The sequence below is a fragment of the Homo sapiens genome, chromosome 9 (assembly GCF_000001405.40).
Source record: "Homo sapiens chromosome 9, GRCh38.p14 Primary Assembly".
Classification (NCBI taxonomy): Eukaryota; Metazoa; Chordata; class Mammalia; order Primates; family Hominidae; genus Homo; species Homo sapiens.
Genome location: NC_000009.12, coordinates 26,929,835 through 26,941,837, shown reverse-complemented (window position 1 = coordinate 26,941,837; position 12,003 = coordinate 26,929,835). Strand labels below are relative to the sequence as shown.

General features: G+C 38.9%; 1 protein-coding gene across 5 annotated transcripts in view, besides 2 other annotated features; it reads left to right on the top strand.

Annotated features, from left to right (window-relative positions):
* The window catches only part of PLAA (phospholipase A2 activating protein), a 43,871-nt gene that overhangs the window by 5,405 nt on the left and 26,463 nt on the right, over positions 1-12,003 (top strand). For all 5 annotated transcript variants that reach the window (NM_001321546.2, NM_001031689.3, XM_047424083.1 and 2 more), the window contains exon 2: positions 6,632-6,825. In NM_001321546.2, coding sequence (NP_001308475.1) covers positions 6,632-6,825 — 194 coding nt within the window. The remainder of the gene's footprint in view (positions 1-6,631; positions 6,826-12,003) is intronic.
* Positions 4,457-5,137: an enhancer, noted in NCBI's record as "OCT4-NANOG-H3K27ac-H3K4me1 hESC enhancer chr9:26936699-26937379 (GRCh37/hg19 assembly coordinates)". NCBI's record gives its function as "activates a minimal SCP1, AML or CMV promoter by ChIP-STARR-seq in primed H9 embryonic stem cells {active_cell/tissue: H9 hESC(primed)}" and the evidence as "EXISTENCE:reporter gene assay evidence [ECO:0000049][PMID:30033119]".
* Positions 5,700-5,900: a silencer, noted in NCBI's record as "peak7213 fragment used in MPRA reporter construct". NCBI's record gives its function as "represses an SCP1 promoter by STARR-seq MPRAs in K562 erythroleukemia cells {active_cell/tissue: K562}" and the evidence as "EXISTENCE:reporter gene assay evidence [ECO:0000049][PMID:32103011]".

Sequence of the window (12,003 nt, the reverse complement as noted above, 5' to 3'; positions counted from 1 at the left end):
TTTCTGTCTTCTTTTTTCTGGAACTGTTTTTATTCAGATATTGAACTTGCTTTCTAAATTTCTCTCTTTTTTTTTTTTCTTGGCTGTAATCTCTAGCAGGTTGCCTTGACTTTGTGAAATTATGTCCTTGTTTCATGGTTGCAATATCTTATACCTCTAAGGATGATAATGACAATTTAAAAAAATGTTTTAAGGTATTTCCTCCTTAATGGTCTGTTTTCCTCCATATTGGTTTTTTTCTCATCTCTATTTGTTTTGATCACTGTATTTCATGCTGGAGGCTTTCCCCAGATGTCTGGTAATCTTTATTGTGTGCTCAGTGTTATGGGTAGAGAATTAAGAAGCTCCTGGGAGATCTGTGCTCCTGGATGGGGCTTGCTGGTTGTGAGTTTTACTGTTGAGTTATCTGGTAGGGCCATTATATTGGGCTGATCTGCTGCCTAGAGGATGAGGGTATGGTTTCCAGGGTTTTCTTTTGGTGGTCTTGGGCTCCAGTAGGAATATACACATTCTTCACACTCCCAAGACTCAACTATCCTTATGTCCCCCCATTCAAAGATTTTCTTTTTAAAGAAAAAGCTTCAGACTTTTGCTGAGTACTAGCAGGACAGTTGTCTGGCTGGGTTGTCTAGCTGCACATCCCTCCCCCACCCCCCGTGTTTTGTTTTTGTTTTTTTTTTTGTCTTAATACCTTAAGTATTTTTTAAAATCAGTTTAAGAAATACTTAATGCTAACCATTTAAAACATTGTGCTAGGGACTTGGGAAGACACAAAGAACCTAATCTGGATTCTGCCATTAAGAACTTCACAGACCACTACCGAAGATGCACACAAACATCTATGCTTTGAAGTGTTAAGGGTTACACATAGTGGGTAGATTTAGTGGTTTACATAATACAGATTTTAAAACATGTTCTATCTTTTGACTTCCTCTGGGCTTATTGATAAAATGGTTTCAAAAGCATTAAAAAACAAAAACAACACCCCCTAAAATGAAGTGAACAAGTTGAAATTGGTTACTACCAGGTATCTTTCTTTGAAGACTTTTTCATAATGCTTCAGATTCTGAAGACTTTCGATTAGTCTTTCTTATCTTAGTTCCTGCCTCTTTGTCCTCACCTCTGGAGGTATATAGTGCTGTTAATTCTTTTCCTCCAGTTTTTTTATTGTGATACAATACACAAAACATAAAATTTGCCATCTTAACCATTTTAAACTGTACAGTTCAATGGTATTAAGTATATTCATAATGTGTAACCATCACCACCATCCATCTTTTAACTCTTTTTATCTCTTTACACTGAAACTGTACCTGTTTAAGCAATAACTCATTGTCTCCACCCCCAGACCCTGGCAACCACGATTCTACTTTATGTCTGTATGATTTTGACAGCTCTAAGTTCCACATATAAGTGGGATCATACAGTATTTGTGTTTTTATAACTGGCTTATTTCGTTTAGCACAATGTCCTCAAGGTTCTTCCATGTTGTAGCATATGTCAGAATTTCCCTCCTTTTTAAGGCTGAATAAAATTTCATGTTTATACCACATTTTGTTTATTCATCCATTGATGGACACTTAGGTTGATGCCACATTTGAGCTATTGTGAATAATGCTACTATGAATATGGTTATACACATATCTCTTTAAGATCCTGCTTTCATTTCCATTGGGAATATATCCAGAAATGGAATTGCTGAGTCATATGGTAATTTTATTTTTAATTTTTCTAGGAATTTCCATACTTTTTTCTGTAGCAGGTGTCTTTGCTTTCACGTAGTATATTCTGTATGTCTGTTAGTTCTAGTTGATTTATTTTGTTAAGTCCTCTTTTTCCTTACATGTTTTCTGTCTGATTATTCTATCCATTATTGAGATTGAGATATTGAAGTCTTCAACTATTATTGTAGAACTATCTATATATCACTTCAATTATGTCAGTTTTTGTTTTATATATTATGTGCATAAATGTTTATAATTGTTATATCTTCTTCCTGTACCGAACTTTTTATTAATATATAATATCCTTCTTTGTCTCTTGTTTTCTTTTTTTGATTTAAGGTCAATTTTGTCTAATGTTAATATAGCTGCTCCTGCTTTCTTTTGTTTGCTGTTTTCATGGAATATCCTGTTTCATCCTATCACTTTCAGTATATTTGTGTCTTTGGATCTAAAGTGAGTCTCATAAACAGCACCGAGCTGGATTATGTTTTTTAAAATGGTTTCTGCCAATCTTTGTCTTTTGATTGGAGAATTTAATTCATTTACATTGAAAGTAATCACCGATGCCATTTTGCTGTCTGTTTTCTATATGCCTTAAAGTTTGTTTGGTTTTTTTTTTTTTTTTTTTTGGTCTCTCATCTCCTGCATTACTGTCTTCTTTTGTGTTTAGTTGATTTATTTATTTATATGTTTGTTTATTTATTTATTTTATTTTTATCTTTTTTTGAGACGGAGTTTCAGTCTGTGGCCCAGGCTGGAGTGCAGTGGCGCAATCTCGGCTCACTGCAAGCTCCACCTCTTGGGTTCACGCCATTCTCCTGCCTCAGCCTCCCGAGTAGCTGGGACTACAGGCCCCTGCCACCACACCTGGCTAATTTTTTGTATTTTTAGTAGAGATGGGGTTTCACCGTGTTAGCCAGGATAGTCCCGATCTCCTGACCTTGTGATCCGCCGGCCTCAGCCTCCCAAAGTGCTGGGATTACAGGCGTGAGCCACGGCGCCCGGCCTAGTTTATTTATGTTTAAATTCCTTCCCCATTTCCTTAGTGTATATTCTATTTTTGTGTGTGTTTACCATGAGGATTATATTTAATATCCTAAAGTTGTAATCCTCTAATTTGAATGTATACATTTAACTTCAATAACAAACAAAAATTCTTCTTTATAGCTCCATCTTCACCCCTTTTGGTTGTTGGTGTCACAGAATTACATCTGTATGTACTCTGTGTCCTAAAAACATAAAGTAATAATTACTTTAAATGCCTTAATTTCTGAAATTATGTAGGAAAAATTTGGAGTTACAAACCAAAGTTACAATATCATTAGCTTTTAGGCTAATTTTTTTAATGTAATGTTTCTTAAATGACATAGAAATCAAAAGGTAGAGTTATAAACCACTATCGTATTTACCATTATTGAGATCTTTATTTCTTCATATTGCTTCAAGTCTGTCTAGTGTGTTTTCATTTCACTGTGCGAGAAGGCTCCTTTAAGCATTTCTTACAGGGAGGTCTCATGGCAGCAAACTCCCTCACCATTTTTTTTTTTTTTTTTTTTTTTAAGAAATGGTGTCTTACTCTTTTGGCCCAGGCGGGCATACAGTGGTACAGTCATAGCTCACTTAAGTCTCAAACTCCCAGGCTCAAGGGATCCTCTCGCCTTAGCCTCCCAAGTAACTGGGACTACAGGTGTGTACTATCACACCTAGCTAATGCTCCAAAAAAATTTTTCAAGATGGGGTTTCGCTATGTTGACCAGGCTGGAATGCAGTGGCTGTTCTTGAGTGTGGTCGCAGCACTCTGCAGCCTCCAACTTCTGGGCTCAAGCGGTTCTCCTATCTCAGTCTCCTGAGGTGCTGGGACTACAGGTGTGTGCTACTGCACTCAGTTTGACCTCCAAAGTTTTTGATGAGAAATCTACTAATTATATTATTGAGGATCCCTTGTATGTGATAAGTTACTTCTTTCTTACTGCTTTCAAGATTCTTTGTATCTCCCTTTCTTAAGTTTGAATATAATGTGACTTGGTGTGGGTCTCTTTGAATTTATCTTCTTGGAGTTTGTTGAGTTTCTTTGGATGTTTATATTCATGTCTTTCATCAAATTTGGGATGTTTCCAGCCATTATTTCTTCAGATATTCTCTCTGCTCCCTTTCCCCTCTCTCTAGGACTGCCACAATCTGTATGCTGGCCTACCTCATGTTGTTCCACAAGTCCCTTAGGCTCTGTTCATTTTTTTTTTTTTCAGTCTTTTTTTGTGTTCTTCAAACCTGATAATTTCTACTGTCCTATGTTCAAGTTTGCTAATTATTTCTTCTTGCTTGAATCTGTCTTCAAGTTGTCTAGTGAATAATTTCATTTCAGTTATCATACCTTTCATCTTCATAATTTCTTTTTGGTTTCTTTATAGGTTTTCTGCCTCTTTACTGATACTTCAGTTTTCTTCATGCATAATTTTCTTGACTTTCTCCATCTTCCTTTAGTTCTTTGAGCATGTTTAAAACAGTTGTTTTAAAGTCTCTGTCTAGTAGATCTGCTGCCAGGTCTTTTTCAGGGACAGTGTCTATTGACTTAATTTTTCCTTTGAATGGGCCATACTTTTCTGTTTATTTGTATGCGTGTGATTTTTTTGTTGTGGTTGAAAGTGAACATTTAATCTAATAATATAACTCTAGAAATCATATTCTTCCCCTTTTCCAGGGTTTGCTGTTTTTTGTTATGTTTTTGTGTATTATCTTTTTGTTGTTGTTGTTGTTGAAGGGTGTCTTTGTTTCAAATATCGGGCTAAGATGTAAACTTAGTCTTCTCAGTCTTTTCTGAGCCTGTGCTTTTCCCTGGGCATGCACTTTCACTTTCTAATTTTTTCCATATATGTAGTTCCTTTTGAATATCTTAGTCTTTATTATCTTGCTCCCAGAAGAGGAAAATGAAGGTGTTAGGGGAATGGACATCAGCCTTTTTTTTTCTTTTTTTGAGAGAAAGTCTTGCTGTTGTCCCCCCAGGCTGGAGTGCGATGGCGCAATCTTGGCTCACTGCAACCTTCTCCTCCCGGGTTCAAGCGATTCTCTTGCCTCGGCCTCCCAAGTAGCTGGAATTACAGGCACCTGCCACTACGCCCAGCTAATTTTTGTATTTTTAGTAGAGACGGGGTTTCACCATGTTGGCAAGGCTGGTCTCCAACTCCTGACCTCAGGTGATCTACCCACCTCGGCCTCCCAAAGTGCTAGGATTACACGCATGAGCCACTGTGCCCGGCCGGGCATCAGCCTTTTAAATCCTCTTGGAAGTCACTTCAGCTCAAGTGGTAGAGGCTTGCATCAACCGGGGGAGGTGCAACAACAATGGCTGCCTGCCTCTTTGTTGTTGCTCTGTGATCAAAGCAGCAATCAGTGATCAGAGAACAGATCTCTGATATTTGGAGGACAGGATCCTTTTTGCCAACCCTAGTTCCTACAGCTGTGAGCAAGGTTCTCTGGGAACAGATGCATGACTGCCTGCCATGGGGCTAGAAGGGTGAGGTGTGGGTAACTGCTACTGTGCCAAGAGCAGGCATTGATCAAAATTAACCTCAATTTACAATCCAAGCCTTCCCCTAGAAGTTGCAAGCTTTCAAATGACTGCAAAGTTTCATAATAGTTACATCAGACAGATTCTGCCAGTGCCATCGTTGTCTAGGTGGGAAAACAGATGCCTGGTGCTTCCGACTCTGCCGACTTCCCAGAATATTCTCTAGTTCTTAAGCCCTTTGTTGGTAAATTGGTTCTTCGGTTGTCCTGCTGCCTGCTAGGACTCAGGTCTCCTAAGGCCCTTACTACTTTTCTGTAAGCTTTAAATATTCAAAGTTGTATTCATGTATTTTTTTTTTCATTCTCCTTGGCCTTGTGGGTTTAATTAAGCCTTTATTAAAAAACATAAGTATTTATTGTTTTTAGTGGAATTTGGGAAGGAAGTGAAAATAGATGAGTTTGTTTAGTCTTTATCTGGGAGTCTTACCTCTTTATGTACACTTATCTTCTTCAACTAGACTGCAAACTCTTTGATTTAGCTGAGTCAGGGATATAATTCTTTTTATCCCTCTCAGCAGGTAATTTATTGCTTTCCACATAGTAAATCATAATCTGCTGGTTGAACTTGTTAAGTAAGGCAGTGATGCTAAGTGATTGATACATGTCACAAACTGGTAATCATTTTAATCCCAGTGCAATTATTAATGTACTGTGTTCATTGATATATATAATTATATATAACATTATATATTATATAATATTACTCTAGCCATTTATATATTTCTGTATTAGGTGGGGTTTTTTTGTTTATTTGTTTTAGCTTATCAGTTATCATTAGTGTTAGTATATTTTATGCGTGGCTCAAGACAATTCTTCTTCTTCAGTGTGGCCCAGGGAAGGCAAAAGATTTGACACCCCTGTTCTAGCTATGTAGAAACACATGCTGTACTATACTACTGGGCTCTAAGTCAATGCTTCATAATGTGAAAAAGTCCTCAGTATATTTAGGTCTTCTTAATAATAAATTTCATTATCTTAATTGCATGTATGTTTCGTTTAACCAGGGATTTCTTAGGGTAACAGTCACTAATGTGTAGAAGTGAAGATGGAGATTGAGAAAAAACCCAGTCATGATTATTTATTGCCCTTTCTTTTTTCCTTGTTCTCTATGTTAACGTATTCTTATCAAAGAAACACTAAACAAACTTCTCTTTATCTCATGTAATTCTCTATAGTAGTTCATATGAATTATGTAAGGTTCAATTTTAAAACAATAGATTCTTAAGATAGTATATACTCTAAAGTTTGTCTAGACACTAAATGAAAATGAGTGCTTTGACAGTTTATGTCCTAGGCTAAGTCAGGGTACGAATATGTATCTATTAATTATCTTGTCTTTCCAGTCCAAACAGGAGCTTTACAGAAATGCACTGTATGAGTGGCCATTCCAATTTTGTATCTTGTGTATGCATCATACCCTCAAGTGACATCTACCCTCATGGCCTAATTGCCACCGGTGGAAATGACCACAATATATGCATTTTCTCACTGGACAGTCCAATGCCACTTTATATTCTAAAAGGCCACAAAAATACTGGTGAGTATAATAATGCTTTGGTGTTTTTCTATTTGAAGTTTTATCCCTTTGAAAGTAAAATTTACATATCCATTTTCTCAAGTTTTTATTATATTTTGTTTTACCTATATCTGTGGTTTGGTAATGGAAACGCTTTTGGGCTATCTTAGTTCCGTAAAAATTCTGTTACAAATTTGTTGTGATCAGTAAAGGTTGATATGCTTATATATGTAAAAAGTAATCTGTTCAGTTATTGGCCGGGAGCGGTGGCTCACACCTGTAATCCCAGCACTTTGGGAGGGTGAGACAGGCAGATCACTTGAGGCCAGGAGTTCGGACCAGCCTGGAAAACATTGCAAAACCCCGCCTCTACTAAAAATACAAAAATTATCCAGGTGTGGTGATGCCCACCAGTAATCCCAGCTACTCAGGAGGCTGAAGCACGAGAATGGCTAGAACCTGGCAGGCAGAGGTTACAATGAGCCGAGATCCTGCCACTGCACTCCAGCCTGGGTGACAGAGTGGAGACTGTCTCAAAAAAAAAAAAAAAAAAAAAAAGTAAAGTGTTCAGTAATAAAAGAGGCTATATAATTTGAATATACTTCATGAGTCTGGTTTTTAACTATTTCATGCAATGAATGCATTTATTCAGAAAACTAAAAGTATTTAATTGAAGACCCAGAGCAGTGTGTTTAGGGCTCTGGTATTATTGAGGAGTATTTAATATATTTGAATATTATTTTCTGTGATTTGTGTATATTCCTGATTCTGTGATAATTCTGGATTTCTGTGTGGCTTAACAGTTCTTTATTGTAGAATGACATGCTTAATCGGTGCAGTAAGTGTACTTTTTTAAAAATATAAATGAAATAGTTTGGAACATGTTTCATAAACACTTAAATTCCTTTAAACAATTTGTATAATGTGCCAGGCACCATGGCTCATATGTGTAATCCCAACACTTTGGGAGGCTAAGACGGGAGGATTGCTAGAGGCAAGGAGTTTGAGACCAGCCTGAGCAACATAGGAAGACTCCATCTCTACAAAAAATTAAAAAATTAGCTGGACATGGTGGTGCATGCTTGTAGTCCCAGCTACTCAGTAAGTTGAGGTGAGAAAATTGCTTTAGCCCAGGAGTTGGAGGCTGCAGTGAGCTGTGATCACACCACCACACTCCAGCCTGGGTGATAGAGTGAGACCCTGTCTCTAAAAACAAAAAATTTTTTTTTTTTTTTTTTTTTTTTTGAGGCAGAGTCTCGCTCTGTCGCCCAGGCTGGAATGCAGTGGCGTGATCTCGGCTCACTGCAAGCTCTGCCTCCCGGGCTCACGCCATTCTCCTGCCTCAGCCTGCCGAGTAGCTGGGACTACAGGCGCCTGCTACCACGCCCGGCTAATTTTTTTGTATTTTTAGTAGAGACAGGGTTTTACCATGTTAGCCAGGATGATCTCGATCTCCTGACCTTGTGATTTGCCCCCCTCGGCCTTCCATATTGCTGGGATTACAGGCGTGAGCCACTGCGCCTGGCCAACAAAAATAATTTTTTATTTTAAATTATTTTTTAATTTTAATTTTAATTTATTTTGAGACGGAGTCTCGGTCTGTCACCAGGCTGGAGTGCAGTGGTGTGATCTTGTGATCTCGGCTCACTATAGCCTCTGCCAGGACTGCCTCCCGGGTTGAAGCGATTCTCCTGCCTCAGCCTCCAGAGTAGCTGGGATTACAGGTGCCCACCACCATGCGCAGCTTTTTTATGGTTTTTTTTTTTTTAGACAGAGTCTTGCTCTTTCACCAGGCTGGAGTGCAGTGGCGTGATCTTGGCTCACTGCAACGTCTGCCTCCCGGGTTCAAGCAGTTCTCCTGCCTCAGCCTTCTGAGTATCTGGGACTACAGGCGCGCGCCACCACACCCAGCTAATTTTTGTATTTTTAGTAGAGACAGGGTTTTACCATGTTGGCCAGGATGGTGTCGATCTCTTGACCTTGTGATCTGCCCAACTTGACTTCCCAAAGTGCTGGGATTACAGGCCTGAGCCACCGTGCCTGGCCCATTTTTGTGTTTTTAGTAGGGATGGGATTTCACCATGTTGGCCAGGCTGGTCTCGAACTCTTGACCTCAGGTGATCCACCCGCCTCAGTCTCCCAAAGTTCTGGGTTTATAGGCATGAGCCACTGTGCCCGACCAAAAACAGAAAGAATTTTTTAAATGTTTGTGTGCCTGTATGTGTGTTTGTGTGAGAAGTCTTCAATACAGAGGGATACAGATTTTTAAAATTTTATATAGAAATCAAATGTACACAGAAGTAGAGATATCTTATTTTTGTTTCATCTTCCCCCCTCCTTCCACTACATCATTTTAAAATTTCTGATATTCTGCTGTTTCATTTATAAATACATCCTTCATTATGTGGCTCTAAAACAGGGGTTGGCAAACTTTTTCTGTAAAGGATCAGATAGTAAATAAATTTTCTGCTTTTCAGGCCATATGGTTGCTCTCATAACTGCTCAACTCTGCAGTTGTAGTGCACAGCAGCTATAGACAGTAAATAAATGAATGAGCATGTCTGTGTTTCAATAAATCTTCATTTGTGAACACTGAAATTTGAATTTCATATAATTTTCACGTTAGAAGATTGCCTTTGATTGTTTTTCTCTCAATTACTTCAATACGTAAAAAACATTCTTAGTTTGTTAGGTATACAAATACAGGTGGCTCACCAGCATTAGTTTGTTGACCCTTCTAAAAGATAAGGACACTCACGTCCTCAAAAGAATAACCACAATATTGTTATCACACCTAAAACAAAACAAAACAAAACAAAAACATCCAGTGAATGTTCAAATTTACCCAGTTGTCTCATAAATCTTTTTTTACAGTTCATTTGAATTCTGACCCAAATAAGGTCCACATCTGTTTTGTTTGTTTGTTTGTTTTGTTTGTTTGTTTTGGAGATGGAGTCTCACTCTTTTGCCCAGCCTGGAGTGCAGTGGTGCAATCTTCAGCTCACTGTAACCTCTGCCTCCTGGATTCAAGTGATTCTCCTGCCTCTGCCTCCCAAGTAGCTGGGATTACAGGTGCCCACCACCACGCCCAGCTAAGTTTTTTGTAGTTTTAGTAGAGATGGGGTTTCACCATGTTGTCCAGGCTGGTCTCAAACTCCTGACCTCTGGTGATCCATGTTGTCCAGGCTGGTCTATAACTCCTAAACTCTGGTGATCTGCCTGCCTCGGCCTTCCAAAGTGGTGGGATTACAGGCATGAGCCACCGTGCCCAGCCCTACATCTTTCAATCTGTCAGTTTCTTTCTTTTTTTCTTGTTGCTTAAAACCAGATTATTTTAGCTGTAGAATTTCCCACAATCTCAGTTTTACTGGTTAAAGCCTTGTTTCCTTTAATGTGTTCTTCAGTCACCTATATTTCTTGTAAGCTGTTAAATAGATCTAGTAGCTTTATCAGGTTCAGATTCAAGTTTTTGGCAACAGTATAGGTGGTATTCTGTATTTTCTATTGTATCACATCAGGAAGCACACAATATCTTTTTGTGATATTAAGATTGATCAGTGGGTTCAAGTGTTGTATCTTTCTTTCATTATAAAGTTCCCATCAGCCTTTCACATAATGGTAATTTTTAGCAGCTACTGATAATCATTGCCTAGATTCAATATTTTATTAAGGTTTACAAAATGATTGTACTGTAATTCTAATATTATTTCTGCATTTGATCGCCAAGACTTTTCTGTATAGATCTTTCCACATCAACTGGTTACCATGTGGGACTTCTATACAGAAAAGACAGAATAAATGCTTTCCTTGACCCTTCTCCCAATTTATTTACTGGTTTGCAGAAGGAGTTGTTTCCTGAATTTTTTTTTTTTTTTTCAGTTCTCAAATTGTTCCATATCTGGCCATTGGAAACCTCTTTAAATTGGCTCCTGTCACCTTTTTATAAGACCTTCAGTAGTCTTCCTTGCTTTATTACAGAATGTTCTAGGTTCAGTTTGTACACTTCTTGCTCTAGACCTCAAACCAGCACTTTTGCCAAGAAGTCCTGTTTTTTTTTTTCTTTTACTGGGAAATGGTATTTTATCCAATTATATCATACTGATTTGTGGAAGAATGTAAAGAGCACCCAAGTTACAACTATTAAGATCTCAGACTGGGCATGGTGGTGCATGCCTGTAATCCCAGCACTTTGGGAGGCCGAGGTGGGTGGATCACTTGAAGTCAGGAGTTCACGACCAGCCTGACTGACATGGTGAAACCCTGTCTCTACTAAATACAAAAAAATTAGCCGGGCATGGTGGCGCATGCATGTAATCCAAGCTACGTGGGAGGTTGAGGCAGGAGAATCACTTGTGCCTCGGAAGCGGAGGTTGCAGTGAGCCAAGATTGCACCATTGCACTCCAGCCTGGGCAACAAGAGCAAAACTCCCATCTCAAAAAAAAAAAAAAAAATCTCAGTGATGTAACATATGAGTATTTCTCATTAACCCTACATGTTCAACATGGATTAATAAAGGGACTCTGTTCATCAGATTTTCTCAGGGACCCAGGCTAATGGGGCTTTCTCTCCACACATGCTTCAGTAGTTGTTGGAGCAGTCAAAGGGCAACATGGTTAATAAGGCACTGGTTGGCTGGGCGAAGTGGCTCATGCCTGTAATCCCAGCACTTGGGAGGCCAAGGCGGGCGGATCATAAGGTCAGGAGATCGAGACCATCCTAGCTAACACGGTGAAACCCCATCTCTACTAAAATACAAAAAAATTAGCTGGGCGTGGTGGCGGGCGCCTGTGGTCCCAGCCACTCGGGAGGCTGAGGCAGGAGAATGGCGTGAACCCGGGAGGCAGAGCTTGCGGTGAGCCGAGATCACACAGCTGCACTCCAGCCTGGGCGACAGAGCGAGACTCTGTCTCAAAAAAAAAAAAAAAATAATAATAATAATAAGGCACTGGCTTTTAAAAGCATGTGCCTTCCTTGAATGTCACAGTAGTAGAGAATTAAAAAAATCAATTTTAAAAAAACACCAAAAACATGTGTGTGACTGAAAGTGTCAGCTACCGTTTTGTCTGGTGACTAATGCAAGTATCATGGCTATGCCTAACTTCAAATGGAGGAGGAAAGTACCATTCTCCCATGTGTCCAAAAAGGGAGAGTTACCACAGCATGCTTTCTGGTCATCAACGATTCAGCTTCATCAAACA